This window comes from Homo sapiens, chromosome 19 (genome assembly GCF_000001405.40).
Source record: "Homo sapiens chromosome 19, GRCh38.p14 Primary Assembly".
In the NCBI taxonomy this organism is placed as follows: domain Eukaryota; kingdom Metazoa; phylum Chordata; class Mammalia; order Primates; family Hominidae; genus Homo; species Homo sapiens.
The window spans coordinates 38,506,405-38,524,592 of NC_000019.10; the positions used below are offsets into that span (position 1 = coordinate 38,506,405).

General features: G+C 52.7%; 1 protein-coding gene across 6 annotated transcripts in view, besides 3 other annotated features; it reads left to right on the plus strand.

The window, feature by feature from the left end:
• The window catches only part of RYR1 (ryanodine receptor 1), a 153,874-nt gene that overhangs the window by 72,714 nt on the left and 62,972 nt on the right, over positions 1-18,188 (plus strand). For 3 of the 6 annotated variants that reach the window (NM_000540.3, XM_011527205.3, XM_006723317.3), the window contains exons 56-70: positions 67-142; positions 425-548; positions 1,308-1,423; positions 4,094-4,161; positions 4,256-4,377; positions 5,157-5,206; positions 5,668-5,728; positions 5,841-6,079; positions 8,622-8,703; positions 9,683-9,813; positions 10,955-11,287; positions 12,810-13,050; positions 16,624-16,711; positions 16,813-16,905; positions 17,511-17,525. In NM_000540.3, coding sequence (NP_000531.2) covers positions 67-142; positions 425-548; positions 1,308-1,423; positions 4,094-4,161; positions 4,256-4,377; positions 5,157-5,206; positions 5,668-5,728; positions 5,841-6,079; positions 8,622-8,703; positions 9,683-9,813; positions 10,955-11,287; positions 12,810-13,050; positions 16,624-16,711; positions 16,813-16,905; positions 17,511-17,525 — 1,839 coding nt within the window. Of the gene's footprint in view, positions 1-66; positions 143-424; positions 549-1,307; positions 1,424-4,093; positions 4,162-4,255; positions 4,378-5,156; positions 5,207-5,667; positions 5,729-5,840; positions 6,080-8,621; positions 8,704-9,682; positions 9,814-10,954; positions 11,288-12,809; positions 13,051-16,623; positions 16,712-16,812; positions 16,906-17,510; positions 17,526-18,188 lie in introns of those variants that run through there. The other 3 variants (NM_001042723.2, XM_006723319.3, XM_047439202.1) reach the window with 2 other exon arrangements.
• Positions 897-1,026: a silencer, noted in NCBI's record as "silent region_10576". NCBI's record gives its function as "represses an Ori minimal core promoter by ATAC-STARR-seq in GM12878 lymphoblastoid cells {active_cell/tissue: GM12878}" and the evidence as "EXISTENCE:reporter gene assay evidence [ECO:0000049][PMID:35858748]".
• Positions 6,924-6,973: an enhancer, noted in NCBI's record as "active region_14572". NCBI's record gives its function as "activates an Ori minimal core promoter by ATAC-STARR-seq in GM12878 lymphoblastoid cells {active_cell/tissue: GM12878}" and the evidence as "EXISTENCE:reporter gene assay evidence [ECO:0000049][PMID:35858748]".
• Positions 6,984-7,073: an enhancer, noted in NCBI's record as "active region_14573". NCBI's record gives its function as "activates an Ori minimal core promoter by ATAC-STARR-seq in GM12878 lymphoblastoid cells {active_cell/tissue: GM12878}" and the evidence as "EXISTENCE:reporter gene assay evidence [ECO:0000049][PMID:35858748]".

The following is an 18,188-nucleotide window of genomic DNA, read 5'->3' on the forward strand; positions in this document are numbered from 1 at the left end:
CATAGGGTGTCTTTGGGGGGGCTGGCATCCTCTGAATCTAGCCCTTGACTCTGCATCCACTCCCAGGCCATGGCAGAACAACTGGCAGAAAATTACCACAACACGTGGGGACGGAAGAAGAAGCAGGAGCTGGAAGCCAAAGGTGAGGGCGCCCATGCCGCCCCCACGCTACCCCCGTGGATTCACCGTGTGGTTTTGCTGATTGCCTTCATGCCCCTGAAACTCGGTTTCTCCATCTGTAGATGGGAATAATAACAGCGTTTACCACCATGGGGTAATGAGATGAGCACCAGCAAGCAATGTTTCCGTTATTCGTATCTTCTTTATCACCATAATTACGCATGCCGGGCACTGCAGGAACCACTTCAGTGAGAGTGGCCCGGGTCTTCCCCAGAGCCCTGATTTCTGGTCTTTGCCTCCCCAGGCGGTGGGACCCACCCCCTGCTGGTCCCCTACGACACGCTCACGGCCAAGGAGAAGGCACGAGATCGAGAGAAGGCCCAGGAGCTACTGAAATTCCTGCAGATGAATGGCTACGCGGTTACAAGGCACGCGGGTTGGGGCTCCCGCGGAAGAGCAGCAGGCAGAACACACCCGGCAAAGGCTGGAAGGGGCGGGGCCAGAGAGGGGTGGAGCCGAGAGGAACGGGGCCTGAGGAGCAAAGATGGAACCAGAGGGGAGGAGCTAAGGGAGTGGGGCCTGGACACAGAGGCGGGGCCAGATGGGGAGGAGTTCGAAATGGGCGGGGCTTAAGCACAGGCGGGACCAGAGAGGAGAGGAGGAAGAGAAGGGCGGGGCCCAGGGAGCAGAGGCGGGGCCAGAGAGTGGAGGAGACTGAGAGGGGCGGGGACCGGTGATTGGAGGCGGGACCAAAGAGGAGAGAAGGCTGAAAAGGGTGGGGCCCGGGGAACAGAGGTAGGGCCAAAGAGGAAGAGGCTGAGAGGGGCGGGGGCTGGGGAGCACAGGCGGGGCCAGAGAGGGGTGGGGAGGTACAGAGGGGCGGGGACTGGTGAGTGGAGGCGGGACCAAAGAGGAGAGAAGGGCTGAGAAGGGCAGGGCCCGGGGAACAGAGGTGGGGCCAAAGGGGAGGAGGCTGAGAGGGGCCGGCCCTGGGGAACAGAGGTGGGGCCAGAGAGGGGAGAAGGCTAAGTGGGGTGGGGCATGGGGGACTCAGAGTGGAGCCCCAACCTGGGGTGAAGCCAAAGCTGATAGAGACGGGGCCAGCAGGAGCAGAGGCGGACCTGAGAAGGGTGGGAAACTGTAGGGCCGGCGTCTGGGCTGATCCTTCTCTCCACATCTCCATGCAGAGGCCTTAAGGACATGGAACTGGACTCGTCTTCCATTGAAAAGCGGTTTGCCTTTGGCTTCCTGCAGCAGCTGCTGCGCTGGATGGACATTTCTCAGGAGTTCATTGCCCACCTGGGTACGGAGAAATACCCCCCGCTTATGCCCGCCCCACCTGCAGACACCAGTTCTGCAGACCAGACTCACCTAGGACACCTGTTCATGCACTCAATCCGTCCTCCCCTTATCTGATGTTTATTGAGCTTCTACTATGTGCCAGACACTGTTCTAGATGCTGGGGTACAGCAGTGAAGATGACAAATGACCCCTGCTCTCCTGCAACTACTCCTATGTTGGATTCAGGCAATTAGCATCATAAATAACTAAATCGTTTAGTGTTAGAAGGTGATCAGTGTTATGGGAAGAAGAAAACAATAGAGCCAGGTAGAGGGGATTGGGAGTGTGGAGCCAGTTGTAATTTTATTTTATTTCATTTTATTTTATTTTTATTTTTTATTTTATTTATTTATTTATTTTTGAGACAGAGTTTCGATCTTGCTGCCCAGGCTGGAGTGCAGTGGCACGGTCTCGGCTCACTGCAACCTCTGCTTTCTGGTTTCAAGCGATTCTCCTGCCTCAGCCTCCTGAGTAGCTGGGACCACAGGCACGGGCGCCGCCACACCCAGCTAATTTTTTGTATTTTTTAGTAGAGACGGGGTTTCACCATGTTGGCCAGGATGGTCTCGATCTCTCGACCTCGTGATCTGCCGCCTCGGCCTCCCAAAGTGCTGGGATTAAAGGCGTGAGCCACCGCACCCGGCTTGCCAGTTGTAATTTTAAATAGGGTGTTCCAGAAAGACTTTGATGAGAATGTGATATCTGAGGCAAGCCATGAAGGAGGTCAGAGAGGAGCTGTGTGGACCTCTGGGGGCATCTGTTCCTTGCAGGCAAAGGAACAGCGAGTGCAAAGGCCCTGAGAGGTCCCTGGTGTGAGTGTCAGGATGCCCTGTAGCTGAAGCAGAGTCATCGAGGGGGACGGTGAGATAAACGAGGTCACAGAGGTGACTGGGGCAGATCATGCAGGGCTTTGCAAGCTGTGATGAGGACTTTGACCTTACCTGGAATGAGATGGAGTTGGGGGTTGGGGGCTGAGCCGAGGAGGGACGTGATCCATAATTCTGGTGTTCACAGGGTCCCTCTGGCTTGACTGGGGTGGGGACAGGAGCCGAAAAGGGTGAGAACTGGGCAGATTTCTGGATCTATTTTGAAGGCTGAGGCTGCTGGGGTGCCCCCCAGTGCCTCTTACAGGCCACTAAGAATTACAGCTAGGCCCTACAATCCCCTCCAGTTTCCCTTAGAGACCCCCCCCAGCATTCCCCTTGAGAGCTACCCTCAGGAACCCCCAAATTCCCTCCAGGTGAGTGGCAGAGCAGGATTCGCTGTCACGTCTCACCTCAAAGCCTGCCTGCTGAGCTTCAGTGCTGCACATCCCCCTGACAATTCCCTTCCCTCTCTAGACCTCAGTTTCCTCACCTGTGATATGGGCATATGTTCACCATAACTAGCCATGGTTCTGTTACTTACTGGGTGACCTGGGGTTAGTTACTTCACCTGAGTTTCCTCATCTGAAAAATGGGGGTTGGGAACCAACTGCACAGACCTCCAAGTTGTAAGGAGACTGTGTGAGGATGACATGTCTCACAGTGCCAAGGACATAGCAAGTGTTTAATAATTGGAGCCAGTATTATTATTATTATTATTATTTTTTTTTTTTTTTTTTTTGAGACGGAGTCTTGCTCTGTCACCCAGGTTGGACTGCAGTGGCGCGATCTCAGCTCACTGCAGGCTCCGCCTCCAGATTCACGCCATTCTCCTGCCTCAGCCTCCCGAGTAGCTGGGACTACAGGCGCCTGCCACCATGCCCGGTTAATTTTTTGTGTTTGTATTTTTAGTAGAGATGGGGTTTCACCATGTTGGCCAGGATGGTCTCGATCTCCTGACCTCGTGATCCACCCGCCTCGGCTTCCCAAAGTGCTGGGATTACAGGCGTGAGCCACTGCGCCCGGCCCAGTATTATTATTTTAATAGTATCAGTTATGACTGTCACCATTATTATTGTTTGAAATTTATTTCCATTTTGAAATTAACTCTAATTTGTTTACATTGACTTCTTGTTTCATTTGGTTCATTCATTCATTTATTGCAGATTAACTCAGTGCCATGTATTCAAGTTTAGAATGAAAAGCACTTATGGTGGGTGAGGAAGGGCATGTTCCATGACCTTAACCCATTCCAGTTTGTTTTCCCCATTGTCAGCTTCAGAAAGGGTTTGATCAAGGAGTTGTCAGCTTCAAGAAGGATTTGATCAAGAAGTTGGGGGAAAGCACATTGGGAGGTTGAGGCGGGTGGATCACCTGAGGTCAGAAGTTTGAGACCAGCCTGGACAACATGGTGAAACCTTGGCTGTACTAAAAATACAAAAATTAGCTTGGTGTGTGGGAGCATGTCTGTAATCCCAGCTACTTGGGAGGCTGAGTCAGGAGAATCGCTTGAACTCAGGAGGCAGAGAGTGCAGTGAGCCGAGATCGTGCCATTGCACTCCTGTCTGGGTGACAAGAAAAAAAAAAGGAGTTGGGGGAATCAGATGAAAGATAGGAGAAAGGTTTATCTCAAAGCCAACACAAATGACTTCATACCAATACTTTATCCCCCATCATTTCCCAACTCTGCTCCCAGCATCCTTCCCATCAGAACACCCTGGGTTCCCCAGCCTTGAACCCACTGTGAACCCTATTTGCCCTCCCTACAGAGGCTGTGGTCAGCAGTGGGCGAGTGGAAAAGTCCCCACATGAACAGGAGATTAAATTCTTTGCCAAGGTGAGAGGTGGGCTTAGAAGCTGGAGGGCGCTGGGGACTCATAGGCTCTCCCCACCCCTCATTGGACCCTTTATCTCCCCCAACCCGTCTCCAGATCCTGCTCCCTTTGATCAACCAGTACTTCACCAACCACTGCCTCTATTTCTTGTCCACTCCGGCTAAAGTGCTGGGCAGCGGTGGCCACGCCTCTAACAAGGAGAAGGAAATGATCACCAGGTGGGCCGCCTGTGACCCTGGACCCAGCCCCCTGACCTCACAGGATTGTAATCCTTTGCCCATGGAGGCTCTGTCCTGGGTGCTGGGTGTTGGGTACTGACCGTCTCCTGCAAAGGCGATTGAAGGGTGACCAGCCATCCTAGTGTACCCGGGACTGAAGGGTTTCCCAGGATGTGGGACTCTCAGGCAACTTGGGACAAATCGATCACCCTGTCCAGGAAGGCCAACTCAAGGCCGGGCGTGGTGGCTCATGCCTGTAATTCCAACACTTTGGGAAGCTGAGGTGGGAAGATCACTTGAAGCCAGGAGTTTGAGGCCAGCCTGGGCAACATACTGAGACCCCATTTCTACAAAAAATACAAAAATTAGCCGGGCTTGGTGGTGCATGCCTGTAGTCCCAGCTACTCAGGAGGCTGAGGCGGGAGGATCACTTGAACCCAGGAGTTGGAGGCTGCAGGGAGCTGGGATCGTGCCACTGTACTCCAGCCTGGGTGACAGAGCAAGACCCTGTCTAAAAAAAATAAACAAACAAAGAATAATAAGAAAGGCTGACTCACCCCTCACCTCCCCAGCATCCCAGTTACTGCCTGTGACATTCCAGCTTGCCCATCTCTCTGCCCCTTCCCATCCCTCCTGTCTCCATCATTTGGACCCCCTCCTGGTTCCTCTCTCCTTGTCTTCTCTGTCCCTGTCTCCTCTAATTGGGTCACGCTGTCCTCGTCTCCTTGGCCTCCTCACTCGCTGTTTCTCCTGCCTTCTGTCCCTTTCTCTTTCTTCAGCCTCTTCTGCAAACTTGCTGCTCTCGTCCGCCACCGAGTCTCTCTCTTTGGTAAGTGGCTCCACACCTTCGGTCTTCCTCCCTAATCTTTCTCTTCCCCACCCTGAAGAAATAGCTCCCAGGTTCTGCCTTAATTTGAACAACCTTTGTTGTTTTCTTCCCCTGGACCTGGAGACATGGACCAGGTATCCGGGGGGTAGGGCAGTGACTGAGATGCCCTGGGCCTGCCCTCAATGGAGCTCCCAGGCCAGTGGGAGAGACAGACCTATCTCCAGACAAGGACAGCCCAGTGGGGTCAGGGCTGGGCAGGAGGAAGGCCAGGAGAGTGGTTGGGCTGGGGAGGAGGGACATTTGGAGGCGCTGTAGGAGTCTGGGGGGGTGGGGGTGCAGTAGCATTCCAACTTAGCCCGCAGGTAGCCTCAGGAAGAGAGCGGTTGGGGTGGATGTAGAGGGAGGCACTGTCCTCTGTCCTCTTAGCCATGGCATCCCCCCGGCCCATCTTCCTCTCCCAGGGACAGACGCCCCAGCTGTGGTCAACTGTCTTCACATCCTGGCCCGCTCCCTGGATGCCAGGTAGGGCCATAGGCAGTGGCGCCCACTCCCACCATCATCGGGCCCCCACCCCAACCCCTGGTCTCCTAGACTCTCCGATTCCAGAGCTGATGTTCCCCCGCTGCCCTTCTAGGACAGTGATGAAGTCAGGCCCTGAGATCGTGAAGGCTGGCCTCCGCTCCTTCTTCGAGAGTGCCTCGGAGGACATCGAGAAGATGGTGGAGAACCTGCGGCTGGGCAAGGTGTCGCAGGCGCGCACCCAGGTGAAAGGCGTGGGCCAGAACCTCACCTACACCACTGTGGCACTGCTGCCGGTCCTCACCACCCTCTTCCAGCACATCGCCCAGCACCAGTTCGGAGATGACGTCATCCGTAAGGGCGCCTGACCCAAGGGCAGGTTGCGGGGAGTCAGTGTGGCCAACACCACCCATCCGGGTGCCTGTGAGAGTCCCTGGGTGTTTGAATGTGTGGATTTCTTGCTGTAAGCAAAGCATGCAGTCAGTACCTTGGCAGGTGGCAAATGAGTTAATGAGGACGCGAGCTCAGCAGCTCTAACAAAAGACCCTAAGTGGACTGGCGCAGTGACTCACACCTGTAATTCCAGCACTTTGGGAGGCTGAGGCAGGAGGACCGCTTGAGCTCAGGAGTTCAAGACCAGCTTGGGCAACATAGCGAGACCCTGTCTCTACTAAAAAAAAAAAGAAAAATTTAAAGATTAGCCAGGCATGGAGGCACATGCCTGTAATCCCAGCTACTGGGGAGGCTGACAAGGGAGGATCACTTGAGTCCAAGAGTTGGAGGCTGCAATGAGCTATGATCATACCACTGCACTCCAGCCTGGACAACAGAGCAAAATTCTGTCTCTAAAATAAATAAATAATAAAATAGGGTCCTTGATGTTAAAAAAGAGAGTCTATTGATAAAGGTTAGGAAAAGTAGCACTTGGCCGAGCGCAGTGGCTCACGCCTGTAATCCCAGCACTTTGGGAGGCCAAGGCGGACAGATCACCTGAGCTCAGGAGTTCAAGACCAGCCTGGCCAACATGATGAAACCTTGTCTCTACTAAAATACAAAAATTAGCCGGGCATGGTGGTGGTCGCCTATAATCCTAGCTACCTGGGAGGCTGAGGCAGGAGAATTGCTTGAACCCAGGAGGCGAAGGTTGCAGTGCACCAAGATCGTGCCATTGCACGCCAGCCTGGGCAACAGAGCGAGACTCCATCTCAAAAAGAAAAGAAAAGTAGCAGTTGGTGGCCAGCCACAGTGACTCATATCTGTAATTCCAGCACTTTGGGAGGCCAAGGTAGGAAGATCTCTTGAGCCCAGGATTTCAAGACCAACCTGGGCAACATAGCAAAACCCCATCTTAAAAAAAAGAAGAAAAGAAAAGTAGCACCTGGATAGGGTTCTTCTCCCATCCAACTTTGTATTTTGAAATTTTCAAAACATACAGGAAGGTAGAAAGAAGAAAATTGTTGGCGGGGCATGGTGGCTCACGCCTGTAGTCCCAGCTACTTGGGAGGCTGAGGCACAAGAACTGCTTGAATCTGGGAGGTGGAGGTTGCAGTGAGCTGAGATTGCACCACTGCACTCCAGCTTGGGCGACAGAGCAAGACTCCATCTCAAAAAAAAAAAAAGAAAATTGTTAACAATTTGCCCTGTGTGCCTACCCTTCACTGTATGGTTGAAAGTATTTAGTTTTTTTTGTTGAACTTTTGGGTGTAAGTTGCACACACCAGGGTAACCTCATCCCTTAATGTTCATCAGCTGGCTTTCCTAGAATAGGAACCTTCTCTTGTGTAACCACGGTATCATTATCATACCTAACCTAACCATATTTAAATTTCCCTCATTACCCACAAAATGTCTTTGATTTTTTTAAAAGAAATTCAGAATCCAGTCAAGTTTCTCCTGCTGCATTTGGTGGTTGTGTCTCTGTAGTGTCTTTAAAGTCTAGAATAGCCCCGCCCTCTTTTTGCCTCATGATGAGCTTCTTAACTTGGCCTTCTGGAGGGCATGTGGTTAACCTAAAATTGGTCTGGGCACAGTGGCTCGCACCTGTAATCCCAGCACTTTGGGAGGCCGAGGTGGGCAAATCACTTGAGACCAGGAGTTTGAGATCAGCCTGGGCAACATACTGAGACCCCATCTCTAAAAAAATTTTTTTTTAATTTTTTTTTTTTTTTTGAGACAGAGTCTCGGTCTGTCACCCAGGCTGGAGTGCAGTGGCGCAATCTCAGCTCACTGCAACCTCTGCCTCCCGGGTTCAAGTGATTCTCCTGCCTCAGCCCCCCGAGTAGCTGGGATTACAGGCATTCACCAACACACTCAGATAATTTTTGTATTTTTAGTAGAGATGGGGTTTCACCATGTTGCCCAGGCTGGTCTCGAACTCCTGACCTCAGGTGATCCGTCCACCTCAGCCTCCAAAGTGCTGGGATTACAGGCATGAGCCTCTGCGCCAACCCTAAAAATATATACATTTTAAATAAAATGAAAAAGATAGCCTAAAATTGCAGCAATATTGCAGTTCTGTTTGCATTTTTCTGGAGGAAGTACCCCTCACTTTCATTATAGAGGGCCATGAGTCCTCTCCACGGAAGAAACAACATCTAGCCTTTATTGAGTGCCTACTGTGTGCCCCGTTCTAGTGGCTTTCCAAGTAGTAACTCATTTGATACTCACGACCACCCCGTGAGGAAGGTACTATAACTATCCCCATGTTACAGGTAGGGAAGCTGAGGCTGAGAGAGAGTTGGTAACTTGCTCAAGTCACAAGACTCGTACATGGAAGGCTGGCTGTACATCTGCTTGCTCTTCCCCACTGCATGGGCCTATTTGAGACAAGGGAGGTGGGGTGGGGAGGGCTTGTCTTGTGAGCGCATGCCGCAGCCTCGCCCCCTGTCTCCCTCAGTGGACGACGTCCAGGTCTCTTGCTACCGAACGCTGTGCAGTATCTACTCCCTGGGAACCACCAAGAACACTTATGTGGAAAAGTAAGGAGAGGGAGCCATCGTTTGGGGCTGGGTGGGGCTGGAGGGGAAGGGAGGGAGCAGGGGAAGAAGATGGGGTGGGTGAAAAGCAGGGTAGATGTTAAGAATTTTCCCGCACACGGCGGCAGCCGCGGTTCCCCACGGCGGCCGCGTGAGGGCGCTCAGGGACAGGTCAGCCACGGAGGTAGAGCCGCCAGGTCTGGGGCTGTGAAGCAGGCAGGCCTCGCTGGGGAAGAAAGGGAGGCGCAGACCACGGGGGCTGCACACAGGAGCCACGCAACACTGGGGTCACTGGGGAGGGCCCCTGGCAGTGGCCATGTGACCGCTTCTGAGCTGAGATTACTGATACAGCAAGAGCGAGGCTGCGGCTGTTTCCACCAGCTCTGAAGTTATTCAGATTTCAAGTGACACCAGCGGTGCGCGGTGGCTCACACCTGTGAGCACTTTGGGAGGCTGAGGCGGGAAGATCACTTGAGCTCAGGAGTTTGAGACCAGCCTGGGCAACATAGTGAGACTCCATCTCTACAAAAAAAAATTTTTTTTAATTAGCCTGGTGTGGTGTGGTGTAGTGGCGCTGGTGCCTGTAAATCCACCTACTCCTAAGGCTGAGATGGGGGGATCGCTTGAGCTCCAGCCTGAGCAGCATAGGGAGACTGCATCTCTACAAAAACGACTTTTTTTAAAACTAGCTAGGCATGGTATGGTGTGTGCCTGTAATCCCAGCGACTCAGGAGGCTGAGGTGGGAGGATCACTTGAACCCAGGAATGTGAGGTTGCTGTGAGCCAAGATCAGGCCACTGCACTGCAGCCTGAGTAACAGAGCGAGACCCTGTCTTAAAAAACAAAACAAGTGGCACACATGGATGAATGGCAGCTCTGTCCCAAAGGGTTCTGGGAGGAGCCGTTTCTATGGAGATGGGGCTGGGACCCAGGACCCCAAAGAGGGGGACACGTGGCAGCTAAACACAGCCCCGTCTTCCAGGCTTCGGCCAGCCCTCGGGGAGTGCCTGGCCCGTCTGGCAGCAGCCATGCCGGTGGCGTTCCTGGAGCCGCAGCTGAACGAGTACAACGCCTGCTCCGTGTACACCACCAAGTCTCCGCGGGAGCGGGCCAGTAAGCTGTGTGGGGCGGGAGCAGTGCTGGGAGTCCAAATCTCCCCAGCACAGGGCCTTGGGGAGACCCTAATTTGGGGGTAGTGTGGCTGGGCTGGGCTGTGAGCGGCTGAGGATTCCCCAGGTTGGGAGTGCCACACATTCAGGAACCCCAGAGTTTATGGTTCGGGGGCATTTCAAGGCCGTTACATGGGGAGAATTTAGAGATTAATTTGATTTTTGAAAACAGAATCTATTGATAAAAGTTAAGAAAAGTAGCACTTGGTGGCCAGGCGCAGTGGGTCACGCCTGTAATCCCAGTACTTTGGGAGGCCAAGGTAGGAGGATTGCTTGAGTCCAGGAGTTCAAGACCAACCTGGGCAACATAGCAAAACCCCATCCATGGAATTTGGAGCTATGGAATTTATTTTAGTGATGGTGACATTTGAGGGCATCATCAAGCTTGGAGACATAGGGTGAGGGGTATTTGAGCATAAGAGGATTGAGGGAAGGCAGGGTTCATTCATTCATTCAGCAAATATGTATCGAGCAGTTACTATGTATGAGGCGCTGTCCTAGTCACCTGAGGTTCAGCAGTGAACAGATAAAACAGACAAAAATCCCCTGAGTCCTGGGTCCAGAGGCTAGAATGAGGTGTGGACCTGGGGGAAATATACGCTCCAAGGCAGGAAACTTGTCTTCTTGGTCAGCTGTTCTCCCAGAATGGCACCTGGCCCAGAGTCAGCAAGTGAGCAAGTGACAGGTTGTCGGTTTCAAGGGACTGAACCGGGTGTGGGATTCAGAGAGACAAGGCGGGGAGACAGGGTGGGGTTGGAAAAGGTCTCTTTTGGAGTATGCTGTACAGCAGGGGTGAGGGGAATGGGCTTGGGATGTGGGAGATTTTAGGAGGGAAGGTTTCTAGGGGTGAGATTTTAGGGAGCAGACAGGCTCGGGGGTGTGAAGTGTTTGCGGGGCCACTGAGTTTCAATGTGAGGGTTGGGAGAGGTAGTTGGGTTGGAGGGTGAGATGGGAAGAATAGGGTTTGGGAGACTGTTTAAGGGGGGTGGCAATTCAATGGTGTCTGATGTATTGCGGGGGAGGCCAGGGCACTGAGGTCTGGGGGTGATGGCTTGACATTCCCTGCCCCCGTCCCTGTACCCCAGTCCTGGGGCTCCCCAACAGTGTGGAGGAGATGTGTCCCGACATCCCGGTGCTGGAGCGGCTCATGGCAGACATTGGGGGGCTGGCCGAGTCAGGTGCCCGCTACACAGAGATGCCGCATGTCATCGAGATCACGCTGCCCATGCTATGCAGCTACCTGCCCCGATGGTGGGAGCGCGGGCCCGAGGCACCCCCTTCCGCCCTGCCCGCCGGCGCCCCCCCACCCTGCACAGCTGTCACCTCTGACCACCTCAACTCCCTGCTGGGGAATATCCTGAGAATCATCGTCAACAACCTGGGCATTGACGAGGCCTCCTGGATGAAGCGGCTGGCTGGTGGGTCGGGGGGCACTGGGCCTCTGAGGGGTGGGTCAGCAGCCTGGGCTCCCTTGGCAGATGGTCTGAAAGGGAGACCCATGGTCCCCTCGGAGTTGGGAGGAGTCAGAGTGTAGGTTTTTTCAGCATCAAAAGACCAGGGGTCAGCTGGGCACCGTGGCTCACAGCTGTAACACCAACACTTTGGGAGGATCAGTTGAGGCCAGCCATTTGCGACCAGCCTAGGTAACATAGCACGACCCCATCTCTTTAAAAAACAAAACAAAACTTTTTTTTAATTAGCCAGGTGTGGTGGCACATGCTTATAGTCCCAGCTACTTGGGAGGCTGAGGCAGGAGGATCTCTTGAGCCCAGGAGTTGGAGGCTGCAGTGAGCTGTGATTGCACCACTGTACTCCAGCCTGGGTGACAGAGTGAGATACTCTCTCAAAACAAACAAACAAAACAAAAGGAAAGAAAGAAGGAAGGATGGAGTGAGAGAGGGAGGGAATAAAAGGGAAGGAAAGAAGGAAGGAAGGCAGGAAGGAAGGAAGGAAGAAATGGATCCTCAAAGCGTTAGGTTTCCTGATTCAGAAGTTTCATGTCAGGGCCAGGCACAATGGCTCATGCCTGTAATCCCAGCACTTTGAGAGGCCAAGGTGGGTGGATCACTTGAGACCAGGAGTTCAAGACTAGCCTGGGCAACATGGTGAAACCTCGTCTCTATTATTTAAAAAAAAAAAAAAAAAAAAAAGAAATATTTGTGTAAGGAAACAGGTTGTAGATCAGGGTCAACCTAGAAATCAGGAGCTGGGATCAGAGGCCAGGGTAAGGGGCCAGAGGCTGGGGTAAGAAGCCCATTCACAACCTTGGGGTCATAGCCAGAAATCACATAGTGAGGTAAGACTCTGGGTATGGGCCAGGTCAGAGGTTAAAGATTGGGGTCAGGGGTCATGCTAGTTAAGGGTGAGGTAACAGGCCAGGTGCAGTGGCTCACGCCTGTAATCCCAGCACTATGGGAGGCCGAGGCGGGTGGATCTCCTGAGGTCAGGAGTTCGAGACCAGCCTGGCCAACATGGTGAAACCCCATCTCTACCAAAAATACAAAAGTTAGCTGGGTGTGGTGGCAGACGCCTGTAATCCCAGCTACTCGGGGCTGAGGCAGGAAAATCGCTTGAACTCGGGAGGCAGAGGTTGCAGTGAGCCAAGATTGCGCCATTGCACTCCAGTCTGGGTGACAAGAGTGAAACTCTGTCTCAAAAAAAAAAAAAAAGTTAGGTAACAGGTGAGGCGTCTGTTGTTGGGGGTCAGAGGTCAGGGATTTGTGCCAGGCTGGGGTCACAGGATAGGGACTGGGTCTTAGGTTCAGGTTAGGGGCTATGGCTGGGATCAGTGTTCAGGGACTATATCCAAGGTTAGGGTCAGGCTGGGGTCAAATGGCAGCTGCTAGGTTGGAGATGCTGTTTGGGAGTCGGGCTGGGAACGGAGTTTGGGGCCTGTGTCAGAGGCCGGAGGTGGCATCAGAGCCCATCGCACCCCTGCAGTGTTCGCACAGCCCATTGTGAGCCGTGCACGGCCGGAGCTCCTGCAGTCCCACTTCATCCCAACTATCGGGCGGCTGCGCAAGAGGGCAGGGAAGGTGGTGTCCGAGGAGGAGCAGCTGCGCCTGGAGGCCAAGGCGGAGGCCCAGGAGGGCGAGCTGCTGGTGCGGGACGAGTTCTCTGTGCTCTGCCGGGACCTCTACGCCCTGTATCCGCTGCTCATCCGCTACGTGGACAACAACAGGTCAGCGGGGCCCCGCTGTCCCCATGCCCTCCGCCCCGACCTCCCACGTCCTCCAGCCCCATCTGATCTCCGCCTCCTGACTGGCTAGAAACTTCTTCCAATGCTCTGGCCCCACCAACCTTCTGACTCTTCCTCCTGGTTTCTTCTGGCTTTGAGCACATTGGTCCAACGACAGCCAGCCCACTTGTTTGTTTCTTTTTGTTTTTGGTTTTTGGGTTTTTTTTTGTTTGTTTTTGTTTTTGGAGACAGAGCCTCGCTTTATTGCCCAGGCTGGAATGCAGTGGCGCGATCTCGGCTCACTGTAACCTCCACCTCCCGGGTTCAAGTGATTCTCCTGCCTCAGCCTTCCCAGTAGCTAGGATTACAGGTGCATGCCACCACGCCCAGCTAAGTTTCGTATTTTTAGTAGAGACAGATTTTCACCATGTTGGCCAGGCTGGTCTTGAACTCTTGACCTCATGATTTGCCTGCCTCGGCCTCCCAAAGTGCTGGGATTACAGCTGTGAGCCAATGCAGCTGGCCAGTGTGATTTTTTTTAAATCATTCTCCTAATGCTGGACATTTAGATTGTGTCGATTTCTTTGTCACTATGCACAACACCGTAAGGAATAGTTTGCTTTTTTTTTTTTTTTTTTTATTGAGACAGGGTCTCTCTCTGTTGCCCAGGCTGGAGTGCTGTGGCATGATCATGGCTTGCTGCAGCCTCGGTTCCTGGGTTCAAGCGATCCTCTGCTTCTGCCCCTGAGTAGCTGGGATTATAGACTCACACCAACATGCTCGGCTAATTCTTGTATTTTTATGGGGTCTCACTATGTTGCCCAGGTTGGTCTTGAATTCCCGGGGTCAAGTGATCCTCCCACCTCAGCCTCCCAAAGTGTTGGGATTACAGAAGTGAGCCACCACACTTAGCTGCTTTTTTTTTTTTTTTAACACAACAATACACCATGAAAGACATATAGGCCGGGTGTGGTGGCTCATGCCTGTAATCCCAGCACTTTGGGAGGCCGAGGTGGGCAGATCACCTGAGGTCAGGTGTTTGAGACCAGCCTGGCCAACGTGGCGAAACCCTGTCTCTATTATGAATACAAAAATTAGCCAGGCGTAGTGACGCAGGCTTGAAATCCCAGCTACTCCAGAGGCTGAAGCAGGAGAATCGCCTGAGCCTGGGAGGCAGAGGTTGCACTGAGCTGAGATCGTGTCACTGCACTCCAGCCTAGGAACAGAGCGAGGCTCCACCTCAAAAAAAAAAAAAAAAAAAAAAAAAAGATGTATAGATTCACCTCTTTTGTCTTGGTGGTCGTGTGACATTCTCTGCTGTTGGATATAGTTCAATTTTTCAATCAGTAAATATGAACAAATTGTGGTTTATTCATACAACAGAAGACTCCACGGCAGTGGGAGTGAACAAGTTGTTTCTATGCACAATGTGATTGGCTTTCACAAATGTTAGGTGGAATGAAAGAAGCCAGAAAACCAAGAAATAAACTACATATTTTACCATCTGTTTAATGTTCACGAGCAGATAAGAATAAGTTTGGGGCCGGGTGCAGTGGCTTACAACTGTAATCCCAGCACTTTGAGAGACTGAGGCGGGAGGATCACTTGAGCTCAGGAATTTGAGACCAGCCTAGGCAACATGGCTAGACCCTGTCTCTACAAAAAAAGAAAAGAAATACAAAAATTAGTCAGGCATGGTGACACACACCTGTAGTCCTTGCCTCAGGCTGGGACTGGGAGGCTGAGGTGGGAGGATCGTTTGAGCCCAGGAGGTCAAAGCTGCAGTGAGCTATGATCACACCGCTGCACTCCAACCTGGGCAACAGAGATAGACCCTGTCTCAATAAGGTTTGTTTTTTTTTAATACAAGTAAATGAATAAAATAAAATATGTGAACCTACTTAGATTCTGACCCTGTCTCAAAAAAAAAAGAAATTTTATGCTGGGTGCAGTGGCTCGTGACTGTAATCCCAGCACTTTGGGTGGCCAAAGAGAGTGGATCACTCAAACTCAGTCTCAAACTCAGAAGTTTGAGACCAGCCTGGGCAACATGCAAAAACCCTGTCTCTACTGAAAATACAAAAATTAGCCGGGCGTGGTGGCGCATACCTGTAGTCCCAGCTAAGTACTCCTGAGTGGGAGGCTGAGGCAGGAGAATCACTTGGAACCTGGGAGGCAGAAGTTGCAGTGAGCTGAGATCACACCACTGCACTCCAGCCTGGGCGACAGAGCGAGACCCTGTCTCAAAAAAGAAAAAAAGAAAATTTTTTTTTTTTTTTTTGAGATGGAGTCTCGCCCAGGCTGGGGTGCAGTGGTGCGATCTCTGCTCACTGCAAGCTCCACCTCCCGGGTTCACGCCATTCTCCTGCCTCAGCCTCCTGAGTAGCTGGGACCACAGGTGCCTGCCACCACACCCGGCTAATTTTTTTGTATTTTTTAGTAGAGATGAGGTTTCACCGTGTTAGCCAGGATGGTCTCGATCTCCTGACCTCGTGATCTGCCCGCCTCGGCCTCCCAAAGTGCTGGGATTACAGGCATGAGCCACTGCGCCCAGCTGAAAGAAAAAATTTTAAAAAGTTTTTAGCCTAGAAGTTAGAATATGGATGATTTTTCAGGAGGAGGAAGGGGGAGTGGCTGGGAGGGGCCATGATAGTACTTCCAGGGACCAGAAATGTCCTATTTCTTGACTTCGGTGCTGGCTACACAAGTGTGTTCATTTGTGATAATTCACCAGGTTGATATTTCTTAATATGTAGGTTATATAATACATATGTATGTATCATGTGTGTCTATGTATTGCATGCATGTATTATATTTATGTATTTCGATGAAAAGGTTAGACAAAGTTTTTTAAAAAAGGAATAGTCAGGCCAGGGAAGGTGGCTCACACCTGTAATCCCAGCACTTTGAGAGGTCAGGGAAAGAGGATCTCTTGAGCCCAGGAGTTCAAGACCAGCCTGGACAACCTAGGGAGACCCTCTTCCTACAAAAAATAAAATAAAACATTAGCCAGGCCTGGGCATGGTGACGTGCACCTGTAGTCCCAGCTACTCAGGGAGGCTGAAGTGGGAGGATCACTTAAGCCTGGGAGGTTGAGGTTGCAGTGAGTGGAGATCGCATCACTGTACTCCAGCCTGACAGATTGAGACCCTGTCTCAGAAAGAAAGAAAGAGAGAGAGAGAGAGAGAATGGATCGTTAAAAAATTTTAAATGTTCAGCTGGGCACAGTGGCTTACACCTGTAATCCCAGCACTTTGGGAGGCCGAGGTGGGTGGATCACGTAAGGTCAAGAGTTCAAGACCAGCGTGCCCAACATGGTGAAACCCCGTCTCTACTAAAAATACAAAAATTAGCCCGGTGTGGTGTCGGGCCCCTGTAGTCCCAGCTACTCGGGAGGCTGAGACAGAGAAAAAAAATTTTTTTAATGTTCATCTGCATGGCCAGATGACCCTAGAAACCCCATCCCTCTGACTGGATGTCTCCTGGTCCCCATCTCCTCCTCCAAGATCTCTCTCTGGGCAGCCCCCTTCCCTGGGATCCCCACCCCCTCCCTCACCTCCCCTCCGCTGACCCCAGGGCGCAGTGGCTGACGGAGCCGAATCCCAGCGCGGAGGAGCTGTTCAGGATGGTGGGCGAGATCTTCATCTACTGGTCCAAGTCCCACGTGAGTGCCCACCCCAACCGCCCTCCCCACAACCAGAGGAGCCGCAGCCCACAGGCGCCTGCCTTCACCTGTCCGGTCTGCAACACTGCTTCCCCCACCAGAACTTCAAGCGCGAGGAGCAGAACTTTGTGGTCCAGAATGAGATCAACAACATGTCCTTCCTGACTGCTGACAACAAAAGCAAAATGGCTAAGGTCGGGGCTTGGTTCTGGGAGGAGCACTTGGCAGAGAGGGCGGGAGCACCCTCTAGGACTTCCTACCTGGCCTGTCCTCACCCAGCCAGCCCGTCCTGGGCGCAATCCCTGCAGTCCTCAGAGCAGCCCCTCTTACCTCCTCTCCCTCTCCCTTCCTCCCCAGCTCCTTCCTCCTCCTGTATCTTCTCCCTCCTCCCATCTCCCTCCTCCTCTCCATCTCCCTCTTCTCTCATCTCTGTCTCCTTCCTCCTCCTGTATCTTCTCCCTCCTCCCATTTCCCTCCTCTCCATTTTCCTCTTCTCCAAGCCTCTCTCTCCTCCCATTTCCCTCCTCCTCCTCCTCCCCATTTTCCCCCTCTTCCATTTCTTTCTTCCTCTCCCCATTACCCCATTTCCTGCTTTCCTCCCTATCCTTCTCAGCACTGCCCTTCTCAGGTCTCAGAGAACGACCCCCCACCCCGAGCCAAGGCCTGGAAATGCCCAGCTAGAGAATACATGGCGGGTGGGGCAGAGGAGGTGGGGTGCTGGCAACTTGGAGTTGGGCCTGGGCTTCTCTGCGGGGCTGGGGTAACCCTTCTTGTCTCTGTCTGCGGTCCGGTGAAGCAGGCGGGAGATATACAGGTCAGCCCCACATCTGGGACCTTCCGCATGTCTCTTGGCTAATGCCCTCTTCCCCCAGCCTCTGCACGCCCCCGCCTCGAGAAAACCCCTGCTTCTGTTCCCCACCCCCGTCCTCCCCTCCCAGCCCCCACCCATCCTCCTTCCCTTCCCTTCCCTCCCCACCACCCCCATCCGTTCCCATCCCAACCCTCAGCTTTTGGCAATTTGACTTCTTTTCTTTTTCTTCTTTCCTTTTTTTTTTCTGGACTTTTGTTCCCAAAAAAAAAAAAAAAAAGAAAAAAAGAGCAACTCTCAGCTTTTACCAAAGCATCGTGGGCTGAGGTCAAGGGTAATGGGGGTGGGAGAGGCACACGGAGCATGGTTGGGGAGGGGGCAGCACCCTCGCCGTGGATGGTTTAAAGCTTGGGCTCTGGACTGTATGGACTGGGGTTAGAATCCTGTCTTGATAGTTAGCCGTGTGACCTTGGTTGGGGTCATCCTTTTGAGCCTCTGAGGGCATCCAGCCAGCAGCCCCCACCCCAGGGCTCTGCGAGGACTCAGGGAGAAGCTGCATGTGTGGCCTGCAGCAGTGCCTGGCACAGGGGTCATGCTCAAAGTTGCCAGCCGGCGTGGATGTGGCTCTGCCCAAAAGCTTGTCATCAGGGCTTCTCGCTGGCGTGACTG